Source organism: Homo sapiens, chromosome 19 (genome assembly GCF_000001405.40).
Source record: "Homo sapiens chromosome 19, GRCh38.p14 Primary Assembly".
In the NCBI taxonomy this organism is placed as follows: Eukaryota; Metazoa; Chordata; class Mammalia; order Primates; family Hominidae; genus Homo; species Homo sapiens.
Window position 1 is genome coordinate 14,381,155 of NC_000019.10, and position 27,591 is coordinate 14,408,745.

Sequence of the window (27,591 nt, forward strand, 5' to 3'; positions counted from 1 at the left end):
CAGAGCAGCCAGCCCCAACACAGAGGCCAAAGGGTTCGTCAGAGCCACATGGTGGAAACTCTAGCAGAGGGTTTTTGAAAGCAGGTTGCACTTCATTCTTACTGAGTGCACGTGTGTGTGTGTGTGTGTGTGTGTGTGTGTGTGTGTGTGTATGCAGCGCCCCTGGGTCTGTGTTTTTATTGCACTTTCCTGCTGGCTTCCAGCTGCACCGCCAGTTCCGGGGAGGGCCCTGGGCCAGCGGCTGTCCGCCCCCCCTCCTTCATAAAGTCCTGGCCTCGGGACAGCCTGCACAGCTGCCTAGCCTGTGGAGACGGGACAGCCCTGTCCCACTCACTCTTTCCCCTGCCGCTCCTGCCGGCAGCTCCAACCATGGGAGGCCGCGTCTTTCTCGGTAAGTACTTTGGGGCCCCGCTGGGAGGGGCGAGGAAGCTCCAGCGGGACCCCTTGGCTGCGTCTGAGAAACGGGAGGCGCCGCTGGTGTCTGTGGGGCCTGCGATAGAGGAAGCCACATGGTCAAGCAGGCACTCACGGGCACACGGCGAGAGGGGCTGGTGGTGCTTGGGCACCCCCACACCCCGGCAGGAACTCCAGGGTGCTCTTGGAGCCTGCTACCCTGCCTGGAGGGATCCTCAAGCTTTCTACTGGAGCCAGTCTGGCATCTGCTCCCTAAGAGGGGAAACTGAGGCACGGGGGAAGGAAAGGGGCAAAAAGTGAGTGCTGGGACCCTGAGAGCCGCTGTGCTTAATATAACGCATAGAAGGACATGGGCGGGGGTGGGGAAGCTAGAAGCCAGGACTTCTCCACTGCAAGGTACCCCCAATTTGTCCCTCGCAGTCTCAGCAGCAGGGGCAGCCCCCAGAGACCCCAGTTCTTGCTCCCCGCAGACCTGGCTGGGGCTCAGCTGCGGATCGAAGGGACTTTGCCTGGTTCTGGGTTTGAATTTGATTTTTGTTGTGACTTCCTGGGACTCCCTTTCCCGCCCCACCCAAGGTGACTGTAACGGTTATCAGGGTAGCTCGTTGCCTAAGCAACGGGGCAACAAAGAGAGTGAAGAAATGACATTTGGGGCAAAAACCAGAACTTCCTGGACCACAGGGACACAGCTTCCCTGGGCCAGCCCCAAGTGGCAGGTGTCAGCTCAGCACCCCGCCTTGGCTTGAGAGTGAGAGACAAGAGCCCACCTTGGGTTTCTTGGGGGCACACTTGTTGGGGGCAGTTGCCAAGACCTGGCTTCCCAAGGGTTCCACGCCCTGGCTGTCTGTGTCACCAGGGCCAAGTCAGAGAGCCTCTGCGCCTCACTTTTCTCATCTATAAAATGGAGCACAACCCGTCTCCGTCTTAGATTGTTTTAAGGGATGAGTGAGTTAGGACACAAACTATTCCTGGTTCACAGTAAGAATTAGGTAAACAGCATTTTAAAAGTGTTGGCTGGGCACAGTGGCTCACACCTGCAATCCCAGCACTTTGAGAGGCCGAGGCAGGTGGATCTCTTGAGCCCAGGGACTGGAGACTAGCCTGGGCAACACATCGAGACGTTGTCTCTACCAAAAACAAATTTTTTTTTTTTTTTTTGAGACAAAGTCTCGCTCTTGTCGCTCAGGCTGGAGTGCAATGGTGCAATCTCGGCTCACTGCAACCTCCGCCTCCTGGGTTCAAGCGATTCTCCTGCCTCGCCCCCATCCACCCCGAGTAGCTGGGATTATAGGTGCCTGCCACCATGCCCGGCTAGTTTTTTGTTTTAGTTTTTGTGTTTGTATTTTTAGTAGAGACGGGGTTTCACCATGATGGCCAGGCTGGTCTCAAACTCCTGACCTCAGGTGATTCACCCGCCTCCGCCTCCCAAAGTGCTGGGATTACAGGCATGAGCCACCGCGCCCAGCCAAAAAAAATTTTTTTTAATTAGTCGGGCTTGGTGGTGTGCGCCTGTAGTCCTAGTGGCTCAGGAGGCTGAGGTGGGAGGATCCCTTGAGCCCAGGAGGTTGAAGCTGCAGTGAGCTGTGTTTGCACCACTGCACTCCAGCCTGGGTGACAGAGCAAGATCCTATCTCAAAAAATAAATTAATAATAAGGCCGGGTGCAGTGGCTCACACCTGTAATCCCAGCACTTTGGTAGGCCCAGGCCAGCAGATCACCAGAGGTCAGGAGTTCGAGACCAGCCTGGCCAACATGGTGAAACTCTGTCTTTACTAAAAATACAAAAATTACCTGGGTGTGGTGGCGGGCGCCTGTAATCCCAGCTACTCGGGAGCCTGAGGTAGGAGAGTCTCTTGAACCTGGGAGGTGGAGGTTGCAGTGAGCTGAGATCACGCCACTGCACTCCAGCCTGGGTGACAGTGAGACCCTGTCTCAAAATAAATGAATAAATAATAAATTATGATGATTATTAAATTCTGGTAAGACACTAGTGGGTCTGGGGAATTGTCTCGGGGTCCTTAGGAGGAAGCCTAAAGAAGGGGTGACTGCCCCACCACCCCCCACCCCAGGATCTCAATGCAGGAAACTGACTACTTAGGGCTCAGCCCAGAGAATGCAAACCAGAAGGAACTCAAACCAGAACAGCAGCTTCTCTCCCGGCTTCTGTTTGGGCAACTTCCAAGGCCCCAGATGGAGGCAGCTGGGCCCTGTAGCCTCACGGTGGGAGTAGAGAACCCAGCTCAGCCCATGCAGAGGGGATGGGGCACAAAGGAACCCTGCCCAGGGCCCTGAGGACCTCAATCCCTCAATTCCTCCTTCCCCAACCTCTTCTGTTTATTGGATTCCTCCTGATCCTTTTCTGGGCTCCAAGCCTCAGTTTCTCTATCTGTAGAATGGGCATCAACACAGCCCCTGCCTCCTAGAGTGGTTCTGAGCTTTAAAGGAGTTACCTGGGGCTTTGGGAGTTAGAGATGAATCTGCCTAGATCCTGTCCTGCCAGGGGAGGTCATTTTGTGGTCTGTTCTGCAAAGAGGAACTGGGTTCTGGCCGAGGGAGGAACTAGCCAAGCCTTGTGGCCAGAGAGGAGGAAGAGGGGAATCCTGACAGAAGTGGGGAGTACGGGCTTGGGCTGGGGGGTTTCGGCCTTGGTTTAACCCAGCTGGAAGGAGTGTGGAGGTGGGAGTGGGGATCTCTGCCTTCCACCCACCTAAGGGGTACTAAATTTGAACACAGTGGCTGAGTGGTCCGGGGACCTCCAATCTGCACCCCAAACACCCGCCCTCTGAAGCTGTGCTCATAACAGACCCCAAAATTCCCCTGGAAGCCCCTCCAGGGTTGAATTGGGGCAAATGAGTGGTGAGTCATTCCTTCCCTTAGGCCCAGGAAGTGACTCATGCCCAGCCGTTGTCCTGGTCCCCATCCCTCTGCCCGACACCCCCCTTCAGGTCTCCCTGGATTATTGGGGTCCCCAGTATTCCCAGATCGGCAGGGACTGGACGTCCCCTCCCAGCCCGCCCCAGGCCCCACCTGCCGCTCATATCCCAACGCCCTCCGTTCCCCTGCCCTTCCCCTCTGTTTCCATCCACCCTCCTTTCTCATGGTTTTCTTTCTTCCTCACTGTTTATCTCTCTGTCTCTCTGTTCTCTCTGTCCCATCTCCTCCTGTTTCCCCTTCTGCTCTTTATGGGCCCCTTGTTTCTCTCTCCACCTCTCTCTATCACCATGTAATTTCTGTCTCTCTGTCTGTCTCTATCTCTCCGTGTCTCTGTCTCCTCTGTCTTATATTTCTCTAGCTGTCTTCTTTCTCCTCTCTGTCTCCCTCTCTCTCTCCAGCTTGTCTCCTTTCTCCTCTCTGTCTCCGTCTCTGTCCCTCTATCTCTCTGTCTCTCTCTCTCTTTGTTCTTTTCTTTTCTTTCTTTTTTTTTTTTTTGAGACTCTTGCTCTTTTTTTTTTTTTTTTTTTTTTGAGAGTCTTGCTCTGTTGCCCAGGCTGGCGTGCAGTGGCGGGATCTCAGCTCACTGCAACCTCTGCCTTCTGTGTTCAAGCGATTCTCCTGCCTCCACCTCCCAAATAGCTGGGATTACAGGCGTGTGCCACCATGCCCGGCTAATTTTTTGTATTTTTAGTAGAGATGGGGTTTCACTATGTTGGCCAGGCTGGTCTCACACTCCTGGCCTCAGGTGATCCATCTGCCTCGGCCTCCCAAAGTGCTGGGATTACAGGCGTGAACCACCAAGCACAGCCCCCCACCTTCTGTCTCTCTGTCTCTTTGTGTCTCTGTCTCTCTTTCTGTGTCTCTCTTTCTTTCTGACTCTTTCTCTCTCTCTGTCTGTCTCTCTCTCTCTCTAATCTCTATTTTCTCTCCACCCCTGCTTCTTTGTCTCTATCTCTCTGGTGAACAGCAAGGAGATCCCTAGGTCCCCATCTCTGAATCCCCTGGTGACCTGAGGAGGGTCCCCCAGAACATGCCTTGGGAGGGGGAACCCCCTGAGTGCTGGGAACCGCCACTCCACGTGCACCCCAACAGGCGGCTACAGCGTCTTCCTGTGGGAGGGGGGCCCGGGGGTGAAATATCACCACTGGGTTCCAGGACAGACCGCCAGGGCCAGTGGCAGTTGTGGGTGTGGTGTGTGTGCACCTGTGTCCCTGAGGAAGCGTGGAGGTCCAGGGCATCTCAGAGCCTGGGTGATCCAACACCGTCATTTTTTTTTTTTTTTTTCTGAGACGGAGTCTTGCTCTGTCACTCAGGCTGGAGTGCAGTGGCGTGATCTTGGCTTGCTGCAACTCTGCCTCCTTAGTTCAAGCGATTCTCAAGCCTCAGTCTCCCAAGTAGCTGGGATAACAGGCACCCACCACCACGCCCAGCTAATTTTTTGTATTTTCAGTAGAGAGGGGGTTTCACCATATTAGGCAGGCTGGTCTCGAACTCCCGATCTCAAGTGATCCACCCGCCTCGGCCTCCCAAAGTGCTGGGATTACAGGCATGAGCCACTGTGCCTGACCACGCCTTCATTTTTACCTAAAGAAATGAAGATGGCAGGCAGGGCCTGGCGGCTTGTGCCAGCACTTTGGGAGGCCAAGGCAGGTGGATCACGAGGTCAGGAGATCGAAACCATCCTGGCTAACATGGTGAAACCCCTTCTCTACTAAAAATATAAAAAGTTAGCCAGGCGTGGTGGTGGGCGCCAGTAGTTCCAGCTACTCTGGAGGCTGAGGCAGGAGAATGGCGTGAACCCGGGAGGTGGAGCTTGCAGTGAGCAGAGATCACACCACTGCACTTCATCCTGGGCAACAGAGCAAGACTCCATCTCAAAAAAAAAAAAAAAAAAAAAAAAAAGAGAGGCCGGGCGCGGTGGCTCACGCCTGTAATTCCAGCACTTTGGGAGGCTGAGGCGGGCGGATCATGAGGTCAGGAGATCAAGACTACCATCCTGGCTAACATGGTGAAACCTTGTCTCTACTAAAAATACAAAAAAATAAGCTGGGCGTGGTGGCGGGAGCCTGTGGTCCCAGCTACTCGAGAGGCTGAGACAGGAGAATGGTGTGAACCCGGGAGGCGGAGCTTGCAGTGAGCCAAGTTTGCACCACTGCACTCCAGCCTGGGCGACAGAGCAAGACTCCGTCTCAAAAAAAAAAAAAAAAAAAAAGAGAAATGAAGATGGCAGGCTGGGCACGGTGGCTCACGCCTGTAATCCCAGCACTTTTGGAGGCCAAGGCGGGAGGATCACTTGAGGCCGGGAGTTCAAGACCAGCCTGGCCAACATGGTGAAACCCCGTCTCTACAAAAATACAAAAAAATCAGCCGGGCTTGGTGGCGGGTGCCTGTAATCCCAGATACTCTGGAGACTGAGGCAGAGGAATTGCTTGAACCCGGGAGGTGGAGGTTGCAGTGAGCCAGGATCGTGCCATCGCACTCCAGCCTGGGCGACAGAGAGAGACTCTGTCTCAGAAAAAAAATAAAATAAATAAATAAATAAAAGAAGAAGAAATGAAGATGGCAGTAAATGCTCAGGCACACCGGACAGCAGTCATGTGGTTTACTCCCACACACACTACACTGGGGAGTGGGCGCCATCATCCCTATTCTACAGAGGGAAACTGAGGCAGAGAGGCCCACTGTCTGGGATTTGAACTGGGGATGCCTGGCTCCTGTCTGTTTTCTTAGCCACTCCCCACACACCCCAGGTCAGAAGAGCAGCAGCTGGAGCTGAGACCCCCACCAGGCTCATGGCCCTTCCCTACTCAGTTCCTGAAACTCCACCCTCAAGCCGAGCTCGGGAGGCTGAGGCGGGGAGGATCGCTTGAGGCCAGGAGTTCAAGATCAGCCTGGGCAACAGAGCAAGACTCTGTCTGTAAAATAATTTTTTGAATTATTTTTAGGCCGGCCACAGTGGCTCATGCCTGTAATCCCAGCACTTTGGGAGGCCGAGGTGGGTGGATCACGAGGTCAGGAGATCGAGACCATACTGGCTAACACAGTGAAACCCCATCTCTACTAAAAATACAAAAAATTAGCCGGGTGTGGTGGTGGACGCCTGTAGTCCCAGCTACTCGGGAGGCTGAGGCAGGAGAATGGCATGAACCCAGGAAGCGGAGCTTGCAGTGAGCTGAGATCATGCCACTGCACTCCAGCCTGGGTGACAGAGTGAGACTCCGTTTCAAAAAAAAAAATTATTTTTAATTTTTTGGCCTGGCATGATAAATTATTTTATTTTAAAAATTTTGAGTCAGGAAATGTGGCTCACGCCTGTAATCCCAGCACTTTGGGAGGCCAAGACAGGCAGATCACCTGAGGTCAGGAGTTCGAGACCAGCCTGGCCAATATGGTGAAACCCTGTCTCTAGTAAAAATACAAAAAATTAGCCGGGTGTGGTGGCAGACTCCTGTAATCCCAGCTACTCAGGAGGCTGAAGCAGGAGAATCACTTGAACCCAGGAGGTAGAGATTGCAGTGAGCCAAGATCACAGCATTGCACTTCAGCCTGGGCGACAGAGCAAGACTCTGTCTCAAAAAGAAAAAAAAATTTAGTGCACACCTGTGGTCCCAGCTACTTGGGAGGCTGAGGCAGGAGGATCTCTTGAGCCTAGGAATTGGAGGCTGCAGTGAGATATGATTGCACCACTGCACTCCAGCCTGGGTGACCAAGCAGGAGCCTGTGTCAAAAAAAAAACAAAAACAAAAAAACCCGCCCCTATGGGAACAGGGTGACAGACTCTTTGGCTTTGAGCATCTGAGTGGGACATGACATCTGCTCACTCTGAACGACCGTCAGGATCTGAGCCTGAGAGGGGTCAGCATCCTCCTCCCACAAAGTGCATCACCCTTACGCCTCCTTTCCCACCCTGGGATCCCCTCTGACCCCCTTTCCTTTCTCTGTTGCAGCATTCTGTGTCTGGCTGACTCTGCCGGGAGCTGAAACCCAGGACTCCAGGGGTGAGTCTGCTGGGAAGCAGAAAGCACAGTCCACAGCCAGAGCCTGGGGAGGGTCCTGGACCCCCGCCCAGCCCCCTTCAGCCCAGGGAAAGAGAGGGCTCGCGCACGAGAAACTCAGCGCCCTGCCCCATCTCCCCCAGTGCCCCCTTTTTGTGTATTCCCTTACCCCTCACCTTCTGACCGTGCTCCCTGCTCTTGCAGGCTGTGCCCGGTGGTGCCCTCAGAACTCCTCGTGTGTCAATGCCACCGCCTGTCGCTGCAATCCAGGGTTCAGCTCTTTTTCTGAGATCATCACCACCCCGACGGAGACTTGTGACGGTACAGAGGCTTGAGGGCAGCGCAGGGGACATCCGCGATTATGAGGCATTGCCCAGCCAGTGGGGGACAGAGGTTGTTGTGAGGGGCCACAGCCTTACCTTCCAGACTATCATCATGGCCAGAGAAAAGAAAAAGAGGGCAGGCGTGGTGGCTCACGCCTGTAATCCCAGCACTTTGGGAGGCTGAGGCGGGCAGATCGTTTGAGGCCAGGAGTACTCAGAAGACTGAGGGGAGAGGATTATTTGAGCCCAAGAGTTTGAGGCTGCAGTGAGCTATGATTGCACCACTGCACTCTAGCCTGGGCAACAGAATGAGATCGTGTCTCAGGGAGAGGGAGAGGAAGGGGAAGAGGGAGAGGGGGAGAGGAAGGGGAAGAGGGAGAGGGGTAGGGGGAGGGAGAAGGGGAGGGGAAGGGGGAAAGGGAGGGGGATGGGGAGGGAGAGGGGGAGGGGAAGGGGGAAGGGGAGGGGAAGGGGAGGGGAAGGGGGAAGGGGAGGGGGATGGGGGAGGGAGGGGGGAAGGGGAGGGGAAGGGGAGGGGGATGAGGAGGGAGACGGGGAAGGGGAGGGGGAGGCAGAGGGAGAGGAAAGGAGGCAGGAAGGAAGGAAGGGAGGAAGGGAGGGAGAGAGATAGGCCCGGCATGGTGGGTCATGCCTGTAATCCCAGCACTTCAGGAGGCCGAGGTGGACAGATCACTTGAGGTTGGGAATTCGAGACTAGCCTGGCCAACATGGTGAAACCTCCTCTCTATACTAAAAACACAAAAAATTAGCCGGGGGTGGTGGTGGTCACCTGTAATCCCAGCTACTCGGGAGGCTGAGGCAGGAGAATCGCTTAAACCTGGGAGGTGAATGTTGCAGTGAGCCGAGATTGCGCCACTGCACTCTGGCCTGGGCGACCAGAGCAAGACTTTGTCTCAAAAAAAAAAAAGAGAGAGACAGAGAAGGAGAGAAAGAGAAAGAAAAGTAGGCCCGGCATGGTGGCTTACGCCTGTAATCCCAGCAGTTTGGGAGGCCAAGGCGGGCGGATCACCTGAGGTTGGGAGTTCGAGACCAGCCTGACCAACATGGAGAAACCTCATCTCTACTAAAAATACAAAATTAACCGGGTGTGGTGGCCCATGAGCACATGCTTGTAATCCCAGCTACTCCGGGGGCTGAGGCAGGAGAATCGCTTGAACCCGGGAGGCGGAAGTTGCAGTGAGCCAAGACCGTGCCATTGCACTCCAGCCTGGGCAACAAGAGTGAAACTCTGTCTCAAAAAAAAAGAGAAGAAAAGAACAAGAGAGAGAGGGAGGGAGGGAGGGAAAGAAGAGGGAGGGAGGGAAGGAGGGAGGAAGGAAGGAAGGAAGGAAATAAGGGAAGAATATGAAGGGGGAGAAGTAAGAAGTGAATAGGCATGGCTTCCTGGAGAGAGAGAAGCTGGGTGCTCAGGAATCTGGAGTCTGTGCCTCAGTTTACCCTTAAGACTGGGGAGGGGGTACATTCTGGCTATGAGGTTTTTTTTTCCTTTTTTTTTTTTTTGAGACAGAGTCTCACTCTGTCACCCAGGCTGGAGTGCAGTGACCCGATCTCGGCTCACTGCAACCTCCACCTCCTAGGTTCAAGCGATCCTCCTGACTCAGCCTCCTAAGTAGCTGTGATTACAGGCATGCACCACCATGCCCAGATAATTTTTGTATTTTTAGTAGAGACGGGGTTTTGCCATCTTGGCCAGGCTGGTCTCGAACTCCTGACCTCAGGGGATCCACCTGCCTCAGCCTCCCAAAATGCTGGGATTACAGGCGTGAGCCACTGCACCCGGCCGCCATGGGGTTTAAATTTCTACAAAGAGACTGGGGATGGGGATGTGGAGCTTCCTGTCCATCCCTCACCTCAGCACTGTTCACTGTGTCCAAATCTAAGATGCCAGCCAGAGAACTAAGATCAAGTGTGGTCTTCAGGAATGGCTTGCTCCAGCTGCAGCATAGCCTGTGCAGTGCAACTTAAGATTTTTTCCAAAAGATACTAAGCAGCAGGCCCCATGTTGGGGAGTCAGGATGGGGGTCTCTGCCCTGACAGAACTCACATCTTTGGGAGGTGACTCCCTGTCCTGTTGTGTTCCAGACATCAACGAGTGTGCAACACCGTCGAAAGTGTCATGCGGAAAATTCTCGGACTGCTGGAACACAGAGGGGAGCTACGACTGCGTGTGCAGCCCGGGATATGAGCCTGTTTCTGGGGCAAAAACATTCAAGAATGAGAGCGAGAACACCTGTCAAGGTAAGAACCACCCCACGTCCTCTGACTTTCCATCCATGAGGTTTGGGGTCACCAGAGCCATTCTGGCAGCATCCAGAGAGCAGGGCCTTGGTTGTAGGGTCAGTGCCTGGCGTCTGAGATGGGACAGGTGCACATGTACCTACCCCACCACCCCAGAGAGGCAGAGTGATGTGAGGATTAAGGGCTGACTCTGGGACCAGCTGCCTGGGCCAAATCCTGATAACCAAGTGTATGACGTTGGCCAGGATACTTATTCAGAAACCGCTGTCCACATGTGAGATGTGATAACGTTATCATGCTTGTAATTCCAGTGCTTTGGGAGGCTGAGGCGGGAGGATCTCTTGAGGCCAGGAGTTCAAGACCAGCCCATAGCAACATAGCAAGACCCCACCCCTATAAAAGGGGAGGCGAAGGCAGGTAGATTGTTTGAGCCCAGGGGTTCGAGACCAGCATGAGCAAGCGGGTGAAACCCCATCTCTACAAAAAATACCAAAAAAAAAAAAATTAATTAGCCAGGCATAGAGGCCTGCGCCTGTAGTCCCAGCTACTCAGGAGGCTGAGGTGGGATGATTGCTTCAGGCTGGGAGGTCAAGGCTGCAGTGAGCCATGATCAAGCCCCTGCACTCCAGCCTGAGTGACAGAGCAAGATCCTGTCTCTAAAAAAGAAAAAATCAAACCAAAGCTTTCTTGGAGGCAGGATTTTAAAAAATTAAAAACATTAAATGAAAAAAGAACTGGCCGGGCGCAGTGGCTCACACCTGTAATCCCAACACTTTGGGAGGCCGAGGTGGGTGGATCACAACGTCAGGAGTTTGAGACCAGCCTGACCAACATGATGAAACCCCCGTCTCTACTAAAAATACAAAAATTAGCCAGACATGGTGGCACGCGCCTGTAATCCCAGCTACCAGCTACTCCAGAGGCTGAGGCAGGAGAATCGCTTGAACTCAGGAGGCAGAGGTTGCAGTGAGCCAAGATCGCGCCACTGCACTCCAGCCTGGGTGACAGAGTGAGACTCTGTCTGAAAAAAAAAAAAAAAAAAAGATAGGTTGGGTGCCATGGCTCATGCCTGTAATCCCAACACTTTGGGAGGCCAAGGTGGGAGGATCACTTCACTTGAGTCTGGGAGTTCAAGACCAGCCTGGGTAACATTTCAAGACCCCATCTCTACAAAAACAAAAATATAGACAAGGGGAAGAAAGAGTCCTTATCTTTTATTTGTTTTGTTTGTTTGTTTTTGAGACAGAGTCTCACTCTGTCACCCAGGCTGGAGGGCAGTAGTGTGATCTCGGCTCACTGCAACCTCCGCCTCCTGGGTTCAAGTGATTCTCATGCCTCAGCCTCCCAAGTAGCTGGGATTACAGGCGTGAGCCACCATGCCCAGGCTGAGTCCTTATCTTTTAAAGATAAAAACAAAAGTAGCTTTGACTTTTGTTAAATATAGACCTTGGACAGGTTACTTTCACCTTGTTAAAAGGTTAAAGTTACTTTCACCTTGCTAAAAGGGGAGTAATGGCATTTACCTACAAAAGTATTTAACAGGCTGGGCACAGTGGCTCACACTTGTAATGCTAGTACTCTGGGAGGCCGAGGCAGGTGGATCATCTGAGGTCAGGAGTTCAAGACCAGCCTGGCCAACATGGCGAAACCCTGTGTCTACTAAAAATACAAAAATTAGCTGGGTGTGGTGGTGCATGCCTGTAATCCCAGCTACTCAAGAGGCTAAAGCACGAGAATCGCTTGAACCTGAAAGGCAGAGGTTGCAGTGATCCGAGATGACAGCACTGCACTCCAGCTTAGGTGACAGAGCGAGACTCCATTTCAAAAAAAAAAAAAAAATGGCTAGGCGCGATGGCTCATGCCTGTAATCCCAGCACTTTGGGAGGCCGAGGCGGGTGGATCACGAGGTCAGGAGATCAAGACCATCCTGGCTAACACAGTGAAACCCCGTCTCTACTAAAAACACAAGAAATTAGCCAGGCATGGTGGCCGGCATCTGTAGTCCCAGCTACTCTGGAGGCTGAGTCAGGAGAATGGCGTGAACCCGGGAGGCGGAGGTTGCAGTGAGCCGATATTGCGCCACTACACTCCAGCCTGGGCAACAGAGCGAGACTCCATCTAAAAAAAAAAAAAAAAATCACTTAAAAGCTCCTGGCTTGCAGAATGCACTCTATCAGCAATGGCTAATGGGGATTTTATTGTAATTCTGATCTGATGCGCCCCCAGGATGGGTATCCGTAGGGTGCGAGATCAGAGAGCAGCTGCAAGGCTCTACCCCTGCGCAGAGGCCACAGCCTTTGCTATGGTCTTGCTTGAGGCCACAGCTCAGGCCGGGAGAAACTGGGACTCCAGGCTTTGCCTATTTTCCAGGGAAGCTGGTTGGGCAGGGGAGGGGCTTCCAGGATTCACAGGGGCAGATGGGAGCCAGCAGTGGGCAGCTGGGAGCTGCGACTCATTCAAAGAGAGGGAGTTAGTGCAGGGTACCGAGATCAGGAAGAGGAGTGGTGCAGAGGTGGGAGGTGATGAGACTCAAGACTACAGAGAGAAGAAAGGGCCGGCAGCCCAGATCCCAGCCCCACCCCTCCTGCCCTGCATTCAGGCAGAGCACAGAGGGATAAAGAGGGAGGTGGGTTGGGGGACAAGGCAGAGATGCATATACCTGGGACGTACACCTGCGTGGAGCCCAGAAGGAGGCTTCTGTCCGCCACACTGCTAGTCCCCAGGGCCCCCTTGCAAGTGGACATCATGTTACCCCACATGCATGTGACTTGGCCAGAGGAGACAGAGTCTTCATGTGAACTGGAAAAAGATCCCCCTCTCCCGGTGGATACATTTGACAAACAAAAAGTGGGCTGGTTTTCAGCCCCTGCTCATCTCATTGGCCCAATACCTGTGCAGTGAGCAACCTGCACAGCTGTACTTGGTGATCATGGTTTCCTCCCAGGGTGCTCTGGCTAGGGGTGCCGCCCACCCACTGCTATGAACCCCCTGCATGGGATGGTGGTTGTGGTTATGAAGGAGGTGTGTTGCTGTGTTAGAAACAGGCCTGGGCTGAGAGAAGGGGACTCAGTCAGGCAGCTGGGCAGAGACATGGACAGCAGGGCTGAGGTGATAAGAGGGACCTCCACGGACATCAAAGCAGGTGATGGAGCCAACAGCCTGCTGGTTTGGAGCAGGACCTATGACCAGAGGTGAGACGCTCAGAGGGGCCTGGGCCCCTCCCTTTAACCCAAGGCACTCCAGGCTTCGCTATTGCACCTGAGGACACGTGCACCCAGTGTCACAGCCCATGGGGCCTGTGACATCCAGGCCAGAGACCTCGGGCGGCTCCCTCCACTCCTCACCCCCCTGTCTCCAGGCATCTCAGGGCCATCCTAAACCCCTGATCACCCGTCTTTGTCCCAACCCTGAGACTCGGGACACTCCACAGGAGGCCACTTTGGAAGCTCGGAACATCCCCCTGCCCATCTGGCATCTTATTTGCATAAAACAAAAGGGGGCTGGCACTCAGGATATTTCATGGGCTCATGACATGGCGTGTGGTGGCGCATTCCAGTACAGTATCCATCCTCTCCGCCATCGCCGGGGACTGCCAGGATGAGACTTGCTGCCACCGGGGCTCCCATGAGCTCAGCCACACCTGGAACCCCTCTGACACCCACACCTACCATAATGAACCCCAAAACCCTGTCCAGAAACTCAGGAGGAGGGAATCTCAAGGACAGGACAACTGTCTCCAGCCAGCAGCCTTGCTTGGAGAAGATGCCTCCCGACCACCTTTCTGGCCGTTTAGCCCTCATCCATTTCCCCATCCAAGGCTCCACCCTAACCCACCCTGGTAATTCCTGGGCCTGAACGCACCGTCAATGACCAAAGCTTGGGAGGATGCTGTGGCCAGGTGTGGGCAGCGTGATGTGGACCCCACAAATGGATTCAGAGGGCTGGGTGCCGTGACTCATGCCTGGAATCCCAGCACTTTGGGAGGCCAAGGTGGAAGGATCACTTGAGGTCGGGAATTCGAGAGCAGCCTGACCAACATGGTGCAACCCTGTCTGTACTAAAAATACAAAAATTAGCCGGGCGCAGTGGCACGCACCTGTAATCCCAGCTACTCAGGAGGCTGAGGCAGGGGAATCGCTTGAACCCGGGAGGCAGAGGTCGCAGTGAGCTGAGATCACATCATTGCACTCCAGCCTGGGCAACAGAGAGAGACGCTGTCTCCAAAAAAAAAAAAAAAAAACAAAAACGCACTCAGAGGGTTGGATGAAGGAGGCGGCTCCAGCCTGGACTAGCCGGCAAGAGACAGCATCACTGGGGACCATCGTCCCAGGCCCGATCCTCTCCTGTAGTCAGTCCTGGTCTGGACCACTCAAGGACAGAGATGGAAGCTTGAACCCCATTCAGCAGGGCCCACAGGTCTCTGTCCCTGGTGGAATGACAAGGGATGAGAGGACAGATACATCTGCCACCCCTCACCCATCGGCACCTGTGCCCTCTCTAGCCACAGGCCCCCGCTCACGGCCAGTTCTGCTTAGATATGGATTCTCACCAAATCCTGCTATTTCCATATCCATAGATCCTTTCCTGGGGATCAGAAAAAAGCATCTTTGTAGACTCGGGGCTGCCTGGCTGGACATCAGCCCCCACTGTTCACCCCAGCCTGGTGCCCACTGTCCGGGCAGCCCTAGCCTGTCCCACATCATCCCGCACTCTCCCCACCCCTGCTATTGCCCTGCATCGCGGGGGCACTGGCTTAGGGAGGGGTCTTGGTCCATGCCCATGAAGCTGGGCTCTCAGAGCTAGTGTGGATGGGAGAGCAGCATCCTGCTAGGGCCACCAGGATGCTGAGAATTTGGCCAGCGAGCGGCCGTTCTGTGGGAGTCAGGCCGAGGGCCACCGTTGGGAACCAAGACGTGTCCTGCCCAGGCGCACGGCATGTCCCCTGCATTTGGTTCTCAGGAAGGCCCCACCCTGGCCTTTGCCCGGAATCCTTAGGCTGGGACACAGATGGCTGGGACACCCCAGCTTGGAGCTGCCCAGGAAGGCAGAGGAGAAGGGGAGGACTTGGCTGCTTCCAGCCACATCTGGACAACAGAAGGACTGAGCCACCACCCTCACCATAGGATGCCTCTGTGTGGATTGGAAAAGGGAGGAGACAGTGGTGCCTTCCAGATGCTTCCGTGCCAGGAAACATGGCGGACCCTCAGCCCTGAAAGCTGCTCACAGCTACGGGCATCCTTCACCCTCTCCTTCCTCTTGCAGATGTGGACGAATGTCAGCAGAACCCAAGGCTCTGTAAAAGCTACGGCACCTGCGTCAACACCCTTGGCAGCTATACCTGCCAGTGCCTGCCTGGCTTCAAGTTCATACCTGAGGATCCGAAGGTCTGCACAGGTAGAGGCCCCAGGAAGACGCCGTGAGGCTGGACGGGAGCTGGGGATGGAGCTGAGGCACGTCCTCCAAAGCAGCCGAGGAGGAGGGGGAAGATCCGCAGGTTCCCACAAGGTCAAGGACCTGCTAAGCCCCTGCCTAAGGATTCACCTCCCAGGAAGGTCCTGCCACACGGCAGGGAGGCGGCAGGGCCTTCAGGGCTGGAGTGCCCTTGTGGGCCCCCAGACCTCACCCCTTCCTCATCTGTCACGTGCGAGTGGAAGAAGGTGTCACTTCCAGTTCTAAGAAGGGGAATCTCCACTATGACCAGGGAGGGAGCAGATGAGAGTTTTTAGTTTTTAGTCATGGAAATCTAGCTCCCATGACTCAGTTTCCCTTTTGGTTTCACCTCCTATAAACTGGGGACCATGGTCCCTGCTGTGCCCATCTGGTAGGAAGACCATCATAAGATGCTTTGAAGGTGAAGTTGAAGGTCACCAAGTGGCGGCATGTGCAATAATGGTCTTCAGTCTGAGGCAATGAAAAGATAGGGGAGTGGGTGCAGTGAGTGGAGGGCAGGCCCAGGCTGGTCAGGGACAGGGTTTGACCCTCTGGCTTTGTCCTCAGATGTGAATGAATGCACCTCCGGACAAAACCCGTGCCACAGCTCCACCCACTGCCTCAACAACGTGGGCAGCTATCAGTGCCGCTGCCGCCCGGGCTGGCAACCGATTCCGGGGTCCCCCAATGGCCCAAACAATACCGTCTGTGAAGGTCGAGAGCTCAGATCCCACGTTTCTAGCGACCCACAAACATCTGATCACATGTTCAACGGCGCCCACACAAACCAAGCAGAATGAGCGCTGGAGGCACCTGGCTGTGCCAGGCGTTCGTTCATTCTTCTGAGGCTAGATGAGAAAAGAGCAAGGGTCCTCCGGAAGGAGCTGGGGTACTGAGGGGGAAGGCTCAGGGGGACCCCAGGCAACAGCTGATGACTCACTGGGAGGAAGGCGTTTCACCATATTCATAACCTGCTCATCTGCACGGGGCCCACCTGCTGTGCCCAGGCCTCTCCACGCTTCCATAACCCAGCGTCCACCACTCCAAGGGGGGCACTAATGCCGGGAGGAATGAGCTGGGGGCACAGACAGGAGACAGGACCCTCTCCAGGCTGGGACAGGACCTGACCCCCTTCTTCCTGTCCTCAGATGTGGACGAGTGCAGCTCCGGGCAGCATCAGTGTGACAGCTCCACCGTCTGCTTCAACACCGTGGGTTCATACAGCTGCCGCTGCCGCCCAGGCTGGAAGCCCAGACACGGAATCCCGAATAACCAAAAGGACACTGTCTGTGAAGGTATGACCTGGCCCTAGAAGCTCCCCACCCCCAGCACACACACTGACAAGCGGCCTAATGAGCCGCTTGTCTTGTTCCCTACAGATATGACTTTCTCCACCTGGACCCCGCCCCCTGGAGTCCACAGCCAGGTGAGTGGCCCCCACAGGGACGAGGCGGCGGGAACTCCATCCACACAGCACTGCATCCGTCTCCTTGTTCTAAACTTCCCACCCGCCGTCCAGGCTCTCTGACCCCCACATCTCCTCTCTCTGCAGACGCTTTCCCGATTCTTCGACAAAGTCCAGGACCTGGGCAGAGACTCCAAGACAAGCTCAGCCGAGGTCACCATCCAGGTAAGGGCAGGATGCTGGGGGACCCCAGGACAGTGTAGAATCAGCTAGCGGAGGCTTCCATGTGGCCAGAGAGAGTGCCCAACCCAAGCAGGGGCCTCTAGTCAGAGACACACATGCGCATAACATACACACACCACATACAGTATGTGCACAAACATACACACCCGGACACGTGAAGACACACGCATGCACACACACACACCAGGTATAATGGCAACAGAGTGCAGCACTTAAGAACCTGGAGTTGAGGCCGGGCACGGTGGCTCACGCCTGTAATCCCAGCACTTTGGAAGGCCGAGGTGGGCAGATCACGCGGTCAGGAGATCGAGACCATTCTGGCTAACATGGTGAAACCCCCGTCTCTACTAACAATACAAAAAAAAAAATTAGCTGGGTGTGGTGGCGGGTGCCTGTAGTCCCAGCTACTCAGCAGGCTGAGGCAGGACAATGACGTGAACCTGGGAGGTGGAGCTTGCAGTGAGCCGAGGTCGTGCAGCTGCACTGCAGCCTGGGCGACAGAGCCAGACTCTGTCTCAAAAAAAAAAAAAAAAAAAAAAAGAGCCTGGAGTTGGGCCACAGAAGTTCAAATCCCCCCATTGCCACTTCTTGCTCTGTGATCTAAGGCAAGTGACTTGCCCTCTCTGGGCCTCGGTTTTCTCATCTGTTTTGGGGGTTGTGGTGTGTTTTTTTTTGTTTGTTTGCGTTTTTTTTTTTTATTTGGAAACAAGGTCTGGCTCTGTTGCCCATTCTGGAGGGCTGTGACATGATCATGGCTCGCTGCAGCCTCAATCTCCCAGGCTCAAGTGACCCTCCCACCTGAGCCTCCCAAGTAGCTGGGACCAAAGGCATATACCACCATGCCTGGCTTATTTATTTATTTAATATATTTATAGATGGGGGTCTTGCTATGTTGCCCAGGCTGGTCTTGAACTCCTGGGCTTAAGTGATCCTCCTGCCTCGGCCTCCCAACATGCTGGGATCACAGGCGTGAGCCACTGTGTCTGGCCAGTTTCCTCATGGGCAACACAGGCATGAAAGTAATGCCTCCTTCATATAGTCAGTGTGAAGGGTAAATCAACTAATAGAAGTAAGACTCAGAACAGTGCCTGACACATGATAAGCCTTATATAAAAGCTTTCCTGGCCAAGCACGGTGGCTCACGCCTGTAATCCCAGCACTTTGGGAGGCTGAGGCAGGTGGATCACCAGAGATCAAGAGTTTGAGACCAGCCTGGCCAACATGGCGAAACCCCATCTCTACTAAAAATACAAAAAATTAGCCGGGCGTAGTGGCGGGCGCCTGTAGTCCCAGCTACTTGGGAGGCTGAGGCAGGAGAATGGCGTGAACCCGGGAAGCGGAGCTTGCAGTGAGCCGAGATCCCGCCACTGCACTCCAGCCTGGGCGACAGAGCGAGACTCCGTCTCAAAAAAAAAAAAAAAAAAAAAAAAAAAAAAATTAGCTGGCGTGGTGGTGCACGCCTGTAATCTCAGCTACTCAGGAGGCTGAGGCAGGAGATTCACTTGAACCCGGAGGCAGAGGTTGCAGTGAGCCAAGATTGCACCACTGTACTCCAGCCAGGGCAACAAGAGTAAGATTTTGTCTTAAAAAAAAAAAAAACAGTTTTCCCATATGTTTTTAGCACAGTAGAAAAATGATGTGAGCCACTTAACATCATTTTAACTTTTCCAGTAGCTAGATTATTTAGTTAGTTAGTTTTAGAGATACGGTCTTGTTTTGTCACCCAGGCTGGAGTGCAGTGGCACAATCACAGCTCACTCCATTCTCAACCTCCTGGGCTCAAGCAATCCTCCCTCCTCAGCCTCCCAAGTATTAAGAGCTGAGACTACAGGTGTGAGCCACTGTGCCTAATTTTTTCATTTTTTTTTTTTCTTTTTTGTGAGACGGAGTCTCGCTCTGTCGCCCAGGCCGGAGTGCAGTGGCACGATCTCGGCTCACTGCAAGCTCCGCCTCCCGGGTTCATGCCATTCTCCTGCCTCAGCCTCCCAAGTAGCTGGGACTACAGGCGCCCACCACCACGCCCAGCTAATTTTTTGCATTTTTTAGTAGAGATGGGATTTCACCATGTTAGCCAGGATGGTCTCGATCTCCTGACCTCGTGATCCACCCACCTTGGCCTCCCAAAGTGCTGGGATTACAGGTGTGAGCCACCGCGCCCAGCCATTTTTTCATTTTTTGCAGAGATGGGGGCCTTGCTATGTTGCCCAAGCTGGTCTTGAATCCTGGGTTCAAGTGATCCTCCCACCTCAGCCTCCAAACGCACTGGAAGTACAGGCGTGCACCACCGTGCCTGTTGTCTAATAACTACACTTTATAAAGTAAAAATAAAGTTAAATTAAAGTTAAGATTGCAGGCCGGGCATGGTGGCTCAAGTCTGTAATCCCAGCACTTTGGGAGGCTGAGGCAGGCAGATCGCCTGAGGTCAGGAGTTCAAGACCAGCCTGGCCAACATGGTGAAAACCCGTCTCTAAAATAACAAAAAAAATTAGCCGGGCATGGTGGCGGGCACCTGTAGTCCTAGCTACTAGGGAGGCTGAGGCGGGAGAATCACTTGAACCCAGAAGTCGGAGGTTGCAGTGAGCCAAGATCGCGCCACTGCACTCCAGCCTGGGAGACAGAGTGAGACTTAGTCTCAGATAAATAAATAAATAAAGTTAAGATTGCATTTAACCTAATAGATCCAACGTATTAACCACTTTAACATGGAATGATTTTTTGCTTTTTTTGTTTTGATCTGAGATCGTGCCATTGCACTCCAGCCTGGGTGACAAGAGTGAAACTCCATCTCAAAACAAAACAAAAAAAAAATTACAAAAATTAGCCGGGTGTGGTGGCACGCTTCTGTAGTCCCAGCTACTCAGAAAGCTGAGGTGGGAGGATCGCTTGAGTCTGGGAGGTGGAGGTTGCAGTGAGCTGATTATGCCACTGCACTCAAGCCTGGGCAACAGACTGAGACCCTGTCTCAAAAAAAGAAAGAAAAAAGAACAGGAAATCAAAACAGAGCCTGGCAGGCAGCCCGTGCCCAACCAGTGTTAAGCGCTGTGATTCATACGTGCATGCAGGCAAATACTCAATCCGTCGCTTGTTTTCTGGTTACTGCATCATCTCAGTGATTCCCTTGTGCCTGTGGGTCTCCAGTGTGTCCCCTGGTAGGGGGTGACATCCAGGTCCTTCAGGCAACCCCTGTGGTCTGATGCTCCAGCGATTCTGTCACCCGCCACCCCCTAGAATGTCATCAAATTGGTGGATGAACTGATGGAAGCTCCTGGAGACGTAGAGGCCCTGGCGCCACCTGTCCGGCACCTCATAGCCACCCAGCTGCTCTCAAACCTTGAAGATATCATGAGGATCCTGGCCAAGAGCCTGCCTAAAGGCCCCTTCACCTACATTTCCCCTTCGAACACAGGTGAGGCCTTGGCCTGGCCTGCCCTGCCCCAACCCTGGGCCCCACCTGGTACCTGGGGTCCCTAATCACAACTGCCCCTCTCCCCTCAGAGCTGACCCTGATGATCCAGGAGCGGGGGGACAAGAACGTCACTATGGGTCAGAGCAGCGCACGCATGAAGCTGAATTGGGCTGTGGCAGCTGGAGCCGAGGATCCAGGTAGCAGCGGTGGTCTGGAGGGGGAGCCCGTGGGAGAGAGATGGAGGTGCTGGGATGGGGCCAGGGTGAGGTTCAGAATAGAACAACTGACTGGGCGCGGTGGCTCACGCCTGCAATCCCAGCATTTTGGGAGGCCCAGGTGGGTAGATCGCTTGAGCTCAGAAGTTCAAGACCAGCCTGGGCAACATGGTGAAACCCGGTCTCTACAAAAAATACAAAAATTAGCCAGGTGTGGTGGCACGTGCCTGTAGTCCCAGTTACTCAGGAGGCTGAAGCGAGAGGATCAATTGAGCCCGGGAGGTCAAGGCTGCTGTGAGCTATGATCACGCCAAAGCACTCCAGCCTGGACGACATAGTGAGACCCTGTCTTAAAAAAAAAAAAAAGTCCAGGCACAGTGGCTCATGCCTGTAGTCCTAGCACCCTAGCACTTTGGCAGGCTGAGGTAGATGGATCACCCGAGGTCAGGAGTTCAAAACTAGCCTGGCCAAGATGGTGAAACCCCATCTCTACTAAAAATACAAAAATTAGCTGGGAGTGGTGGCAGGTGCCTATAATCCCAGCTACTTGGGAGGCTGAGACAGAAGAATTGCTTGAACCTGGGGAGTGGAGGTTGCAGTGAGCTGAGATCACGCCACTGCACTCCAGCCTGGGCGAAAGAGCGAAACTCCGTCTCAAAAAAAAAAAAACAAGGAACAACTAGAAACTGACTCATCGGGAGGGGCTCCTGGCGTCATCGTGGTGGACTGGCTGAGCCTGAGCTGGGTCATCTTGGGAGGGAGGATAGAGCATGGGAGGAGGACAACGGGAGTAGGCAGCGAGTGTGTCTGTTCCCCAGGCCCCGCCGTGGCGGGCATCCTCTCCATCCAGAACATGACGACATTGCTGGCCAATGCCTCCTTGAACCTGCATTCCAAGAAGCAAGCCGAACTGGAGGAGATATATGAAAGCAGCATCCGTGGTGTCCAACTCAGACGCCTCTCTGCCGTCAACTCCATCTTTCTGAGCCACAACAACACCAAGGAACTCAACTCCCCCATCCTTTTCGCCTTCTCCCACCTTGAGTCCTCCGATGGGGAGGCGGGAAGAGACCCTCCTGCCAAGGTCTCTGCTCACTCTGCTCACTTCCTCAAAGATAACCCAGGGCCTTCGCACATGCTGGGCCTCTCTCTGGGATGCTCTTTCCCGACGTGACTCAGTCTTTTATGTTTCTGGCCTTCTGATTTGGGCCTTCCCCAACCTCATTACTTATTTATTTCCTTACTTTATTTATTTAATTTAATTAATTAATTTATTTATTTTAAGACAGAGTCTCACTCTGTCGTCCAGGCTGGAGTGCAGTGGCACGTTCTCGGCTCACTGCAATCTCTGCCTCCCAGGTTCAAGTGATTCTCCTGCCTCAGCCTCCCAAGTAGATGGGATTACAGGCATGCGCCACCACACCTCGCTGATTTTGTATTTTTAGTAGAGACGGGGTTTCTCCATGTTGGTCAGGTTGGTCTCAAACTCCCGACCTCAGGTGATCTGCCCGCCTTGGCCTCTCAAAGTACTGCGATTACAGGCGTGAGCCACCACTCCCAGACTTTCTTTTCTTATTTATTTATATTTTTAGACAGGAGGGTCTCACTCTGTGGCCCAGGCTGGAGTGCAGTGGCGCGATTATAGCTCACTGCAACCTCGAACTCCTGAACTCAACCATTCCTCCAGCCTCAGAGTTTTGAGTAGCTGAGGCTACAGGCATGCACCACCACTCCCAGCTAATTTTTTTATTTTTGATAGAGACGGGGACCTCACTATTTTTCCCAGGATGGTCTAGAATTCCTGGGCTCCAGTGATCCTCCCACCTCAGCCTCCTGAGTAGCTGGGACTATAAGCGTGCACTACTATGCCCAGTTAATTAAAAACAAAAAAATTAATGGAGATGGAGGTCTCGCTATGTTGCCACAGCTGGTCTCAAACTCCTGGCCTCAAGCGATCCTCCCACCTTGGCCTCCCAAAGTCCTGGAATTACTTACAGGCAAGAGCCATCATCATCCCTGGCCACCTTCTAATGCACTATCTACATTACTTATTCGTTAGGTTTATGTCATAATCTGCCTCTCCCACTTTTTTTTTTTTTTTTTTTTTTTTTTTTTGAGATGGAGTTTCACTCTTGTCATCCAGGCTGGAGTGCAGTGGCTCATTCTCGGCTCAGTGCAACCTCCACCTCCCAGGTTCAAGCGATTCTCCTGCCCAGGACTCCCAAGTAGCTGGGATTTACAGGTGCTTGCCACCAGGCCCAGCTAATTTTTGTATTTTTTAGTGGAGACGGGGTTTCGCCATGTTGGCCAGGCTGGTCTCAAACTCCTGACCTCAGGTGATCCGCCTGCCTCAGCCTCCCAAAGTGCTGGGATTACAGGCATGAGCCACTATGCCTGGCCACCTCTCCCACTCTTATGTCAACCTCACAAGGGTAGGTACTTGTGTGTGCCCTGTTCACTGCTGTGTCTCCAAACCTGTTACATTCAGTAGGCGCTCGGTCAATACTCATCTAGTAAAAAGCAGCCCTCTTAGACTCAGCCCAAGCCCAGGACCTAAGAGTGAGCTCCAGGCCAACCTTTCTGACCACCCCCATCTGCCCACAGGACGTGATGCCTGGGCCACGGCAGGAGCTGCTCTGTGCCTTCTGGAAGAGTGACAGCGACAGGGGAGGGCACTGGGCCACCGAGGGCTGCCAGGTGCTGGGCAGCAAGAACGGCAGCACCACCTGCCAATGCAGCCACCTGAGCAGCTTTGCGATCCTTATGGCTCATTATGACGTGGAGGTAAGTAGCTGGAGGCATCCTCAAGTGCCCACAGGTAATGAGGTCCAGCTGCAACCAGACAGGCAGCTAGTTCTCCATGGAGCCCTACTGGTTGCTCAGATATATCTGCATGGTTGCACAGCCCAGGTGTCCCCACGTCACACCCTTCGCAGCCTCTTCCTTTGGCCTCTTCTCTACAACCCAGCAACTATACACTGGGTGCAGCCACTAGCTCCGCTCCTCTGCCTGTCCATCCCGTACCAGTTGTGAGATGTCAACTAAAAGCTCCCCATGGAGAGCATTCCAAGGGGGCACCACTTGCCCGTTTTTTTTTTTTTTTGAGACGGAGTCTCTGTCGCCCAGGTTGGAGTATGGTGGCACAATCTCAGCTAGTGAGGTTCAAGGGATTCTCCTGCCTTAGCCTCCCGAGTAGCCGAGATTACAGGCGTGCACCACCATGCCTGAGTAATTTTTGGTATTTTTAGTAGAGACAGGGTTTCACCATGTTGCCCAGGCTAGTCTCAAACTCCTGACCTCAGGTGATCCACCCACCTCGGCCTCCCGAAGTGCTGGGCTTACAGGTGTCAGCCACCGCACCCGGCCTCTTTTTTTTTTTCTTTTGGACAGAGTCTTGCTCTATCGCTTAGGCTGGAGTGCAGTAGTGTGATCTTGGCTCACTGCAACCCCCGCCTCCGGATTCAAGCGATTCTCCTGCCTCAGCCTCCCAAGTAGCTGGGATTACAGGTGCATGCCACCATGCACCGCTAATTTTTGTATTTTTAGTAGAGGCGGGGTTTCACTATGTTGGGCAGGCTGGTCTCGAACTCCTGACCTCAGGTGATCTGCCCCCCCTCAGCCTCTCAAAGTGCTAGGATTAGAGGCATGAGCCACCACACCCAGCCTGGAGCACCACTTTCTGTACGTGACTTCAGTAGGATCCATCGTTAAGCTGGGCCTTGTCGAAAACTGCAATTAACCAGGCAGAGAAGGGGGGCGCCTGTGGTCCAGGCCAAAGGCCCAGCAAGCACAAAAATGTGAAATCCCTAGACTCCCCTTCCAGCTGGTAAGTGTGGCCAGATCTAGGAGGGACAAGGGAGGAGGTCAGAGAGGTGGGCCCGTCAAAGTGTGGGGGGGAAAAGGGACCACAAAGAGGGCAGGAAGGCCTCATGCCCTGAAGGAACCCTGAGCACCCGGTGCCACTCCTAGGACTGGAAGCTGACCCTGATCACCAGGGTGGGACTGGCGCTGTCACTCTTCTGCCTGCTGCTGTGCATCCTCACTTTCCTGCTGGTGCGGCCCATCCAGGGCTCGCGCACCACCATACACCTGCACCTCTGCATCTGCCTCTTCGTGGGCTCCACCATCTTCCTGGCCGGCATCGAGAACGAAGGCGGCCAGGTGAGGTCCCGCCCCGCTCCCTCCTGAGCTCTGGGGTCAGGGAGGCCTGGGAGGGGTTAGCCCCGCCCACTCCCGGGGCTCAGTCGGGTAGGCGGGCCCTGGAGGCATGAGGCCCCGCCCCTGTCCGGGATCTGGCCCCGCCCACCGGGGGGTCGGGTTGTCTCTTTAAAGGGCGCTGGCTTTGGAGCTGCCTGGCCACACCCCGAGTGCCCGCTCGCTTCTGAGCGTTGTTGGGGGTGGGCCCTGGGGGGAAACCTGGCCCCCGCTCCAGACCCGCCCACCCTCCGGCTGTGGTCCCGCCCACTCTCGGGACCTGGCAGGCGACTGGCTCTGGCGCCGCATGCCCCTCCCCGCGCTGACGTCGCTCCGCCCCTCCGTCCCCGCCCCGCAGGTGGGGCTGCGCTGCCGCCTGGTGGCCGGGCTGCTGCACTACTGTTTCCTGGCCGCCTTCTGCTGGATGAGCCTCGAAGGCCTGGAGCTCTACTTTCTTGTGGTGCGCGTGTTCCAAGGCCAGGGCCTGAGTACGCGCTGGCTCTGCCTGATCGGCTATGGCGTGCCCCTGCTCATCGTGGGCGTCTCGGCTGCCATCTACAGCAAGGGCTACGGCCGCCCCAGATAGTGAGTGCAGCGAGATGGGGCAGGAGGAAGGCGGGGTGCTGGGCCTGGGGCTCACAGGCAGTGCCACACACAATGTCCGGCCGCCCTCCGTTCCGCTCCTGGCTTCCTGGGGCACTGATGGGACCCCTCCCTTCCCTCCTAGCTGCTGGTTGGACTTTGAGCAGGGCTTCCTCTGGAGCTTCTTGGGACCTGTGACCTTCATCATTTTGGTAAGTACCCACTCTCCCTCCACCGAAGCCCGAGCGCCACAGGCCCAGGCCCGGCTGGACCATCGCTCTCGCCCTCTAACCCACAATCTGCTCCCTGCCCAGTGCAATGCTGTCATTTTCGTGACTACCGTCTGGAAGCTCACTCAGAAGTTTTCTGAAATCAATCCAGACATGAAGAAATTAAAGAAGGCGAGGTGAGAGGAGAGGCTGGAAGGACTTGGAGGCGGGGCCGGGGTGAGGGGCATGAAGCTGGAGGTGAGGTGGGGGCCCACGCTGCAACCCCGCTCCTCGCAGGGCGCTGACCATCACGGCCATCGCGCAGCTCTTCCTGTTGGGCTGCACCTGGGTCTTTGGCCTGTTCATCTTCGACGATCGGAGCTTGGTGCTGACCTATGTGTTTACCATCCTCAACTGCCTGCAGGGCGCCTTCCTCTACCTGCTGCACTGCCTGCTCAACAAGAAGGTGGGGGCCTGGGCACAGTGGCGCACGCCTGTCATCCTCCCACCTATTTGGGAGGCTGAGGTGGGAGGATTGCTTGAGCCCAGAAGTTGGAGACCAGCCTGGGCAACATAACCAGATGCTGTCTTTACAAAAAAATTCAAAGATAGCCAGGGTGAGGCGCCTGTAATCCCAACAGTTTGGGAGGCCGAGGTGGGCAGATCACCTGAGGTCAGTAATTCAAGACCAGCCTGGCCAACATGGTGAAACCCTGTCTCTACTAAAAATACAAAAATTAGCCAGGCATGGTGGCACACGCCTGTAGTCCCAGCTACTTGGGAGGCTGAGGCAGGAGAATCATTTGAACCAGGAGTGCAGTGGGCCAAGATGGCACCATTGCACTCCAGCCTGGGTGACAGTGAGACTTGTCTCCAAAAAAAAAAAAAAAAGCCGGGTGTGCTGAATACCCATCTCAGCTTCTCAGGAGGCTGGGGCAAGAGGATCACTTGGGCCCAGGAGTTCAAGGTTGCAGTAAGCTATGATGGTGCCACTACACTCCAGCCTGGGTGACAGGGGGACCCGATCTCAAAAAAAAGACAAACACAAAAACACCAAGAAGGTGGGGCTGAGGGCAGAGCATGGGGAGGAGCGTGCATGGTCCCAGGGCCTGCTCCTGCCCTGACTTGGTGTCTGGGCCGGCAGGTTCGGGAAGAATACCGGAAGTGGGCCTGCCTAGTTGCTGGGGGGAGCAAGTACTCAGAATTCACCTCCACCACGTCTGGCACTGGCCACAATCAGACCCGGGTAAGGGGCTGCGCCTGGGGCGGGTGTGGGCAGGAAGGCACCAGGGCTAGCGGGGCTCAGGCCTCTGGGCTCTCCTCTCCAGGCCCTCAGGGCATCAGAGTCCGGCATATGAAGGCGCATGGTTCTGGACGGCCCAGCAGCTCCTGTGGCCACAGCAGCTTTGTACACGAAGACCATCCATCCTCCCTTCGTCCACCACTCTACTCCCTCCACCCTCCCTCCCTGATCCCGTGTGCCACCAGGAGGGAGTGGCAGCTATAGTCTGGCACCAAAGTCCAGGACACCCAGTGGGGTGGAGTCGGAGCCACTGGTCCTGCTGCTGGCTGCCTCTCTGCTCCACCTTGTGACCCAGGGTGGGGACAGGGGCTGGCCCAGGGCTGCAATGCAGCATGTTGCCCTGGCACCTGTGGCCAGTACTCGGGACAGACTAAGGGCGCTTGTCCCATCCTGGACTTTTCCTCTCATGTCTTTGCTGCAGAACTGAAGAGACTAGGCGCTGGGGCTCAGCTTCCCTCTTAAGCTAAGACTGATGTCAGAGGCCCCATGGCGAGGCCCCTTGGGGCCACTGCCTGAGGCTCACGGTACAGAGGCCTGCCCTGCCTGGCCGGGCAGGAGGTTCTCACTGTTGTGAAGGTTGTAGACGTTGTGTAATGTGTTTTTATCTGTTAAAATTTTTCAGTGTTGACACTTAAAATTAAACACATGCATACAGAAGATGGCCTTGCCTGCTGGTGGT

The 27,591-nt window shown here is 54.6% G+C and overlaps 1 protein-coding gene across 3 annotated transcripts, besides 9 other annotated features; it reads left to right on the forward strand.

The window, feature by feature from the left end:
* ADGRE5 (adhesion G protein-coupled receptor E5) lies at positions 290–27,569 on the forward strand. Of its 3 annotated transcripts, NM_078481.4 has the most exons (20): positions 290–391; positions 7,296–7,346; positions 7,548–7,664; positions 9,770–9,925; positions 15,188–15,319; positions 15,923–16,069; positions 16,504–16,650; positions 16,735–16,781; positions 16,908–16,985; positions 20,232–20,409; positions 20,499–20,606; positions 21,443–21,708; positions 23,229–23,408; positions 24,594–24,785; positions 25,177–25,403; positions 25,546–25,612; positions 25,715–25,806; positions 25,907–26,075; positions 26,754–26,855; positions 26,938–27,569. In NM_078481.4, the coding sequence occupies exons 1-20, from the start codon at positions 370–372 to the stop codon at positions 26,965–26,967; spliced, it is 2,508 nt and encodes an 835-aa protein (NP_510966.1). In that variant the 5' UTR covers positions 290–369; the 3' UTR covers positions 26,968–27,569. The 3 variants fall into 3 exon arrangements, with proteins under 3 accessions (NP_510966.1, NP_001020331.1, NP_001775.2); NM_001025160.3 differs by lacking the exon at positions 15,923–16,069; NM_001784.6 differs by lacking the exons at positions 15,188–15,319; positions 15,923–16,069.
* Positions 1,639–1,778: a silencer, noted in NCBI's record as "silent region_10244". NCBI's record gives its function as "represses an Ori minimal core promoter by ATAC-STARR-seq in GM12878 lymphoblastoid cells {active_cell/tissue: GM12878}" and the evidence as "EXISTENCE:reporter gene assay evidence [ECO:0000049][PMID:35858748]".
* Positions 15,282–16,481: an enhancer, noted in NCBI's record as "CDK7 strongly-dependent group 2 enhancer chr19:14507248-14508447 (GRCh37/hg19 assembly coordinates)". NCBI's record gives its function as "activates an origin of replication core promoter dependent on BRD2, BRD4, P300/CBP, MED14 and CDK7 cofactors, with strong dependence on CDK7, by STARR-seq in HCT116 cells {active_cell/tissue: HCT116}" and the evidence as "EXISTENCE:reporter gene assay evidence [ECO:0000049][PMID:35650434]".
* Positions 20,380–21,579: an enhancer, noted in NCBI's record as "CDK7 strongly-dependent group 2 enhancer chr19:14512346-14513545 (GRCh37/hg19 assembly coordinates)". NCBI's record gives its function as "activates an origin of replication core promoter dependent on BRD2, BRD4, P300/CBP, MED14 and CDK7 cofactors, with strong dependence on CDK7, by STARR-seq in HCT116 cells {active_cell/tissue: HCT116}" and the evidence as "EXISTENCE:reporter gene assay evidence [ECO:0000049][PMID:35650434]".
* Positions 24,001–24,630: an enhancer, noted in NCBI's record as "H3K4me1 hESC enhancer chr19:14515967-14516596 (GRCh37/hg19 assembly coordinates)". NCBI's record gives its function as "activates a minimal SCP1, AML or CMV promoter by ChIP-STARR-seq in primed H9 embryonic stem cells {active_cell/tissue: H9 hESC(primed)}" and the evidence as "EXISTENCE:reporter gene assay evidence [ECO:0000049][PMID:30033119]".
* Positions 24,203–24,497: an enhancer, noted in NCBI's record as "tiled region #8500; K562 Activating non-DNase unmatched - State 25:Art". NCBI's record gives its function as "activates a minimal TATA promoter and a strong SV40 promoter by Sharpr-MPRA in K562 cells {active_cell/tissue: K562}" and the evidence as "EXISTENCE:reporter gene assay evidence [ECO:0000049][PMID:27701403]".
* Positions 24,631–25,260: an enhancer, noted in NCBI's record as "H3K27ac-H3K4me1 hESC enhancer chr19:14516597-14517226 (GRCh37/hg19 assembly coordinates)". NCBI's record gives its function as "activates a minimal SCP1, AML or CMV promoter by ChIP-STARR-seq in primed H9 embryonic stem cells {active_cell/tissue: H9 hESC(primed)}" and the evidence as "EXISTENCE:reporter gene assay evidence [ECO:0000049][PMID:30033119]".
* Positions 24,631–25,294: a biological region, named in NCBI's record as "H3K27ac-H3K4me1 hESC enhancer GRCh37_chr19:14516597-14517226".
* Positions 24,775–25,294: a silencer, noted in NCBI's record as "silent region_10245". NCBI's record gives its function as "represses an Ori minimal core promoter by ATAC-STARR-seq in GM12878 lymphoblastoid cells {active_cell/tissue: GM12878}" and the evidence as "EXISTENCE:reporter gene assay evidence [ECO:0000049][PMID:35858748]".
* Positions 26,643–26,872: an enhancer, noted in NCBI's record as "active region_14164". NCBI's record gives its function as "activates an Ori minimal core promoter by ATAC-STARR-seq in GM12878 lymphoblastoid cells {active_cell/tissue: GM12878}" and the evidence as "EXISTENCE:reporter gene assay evidence [ECO:0000049][PMID:35858748]".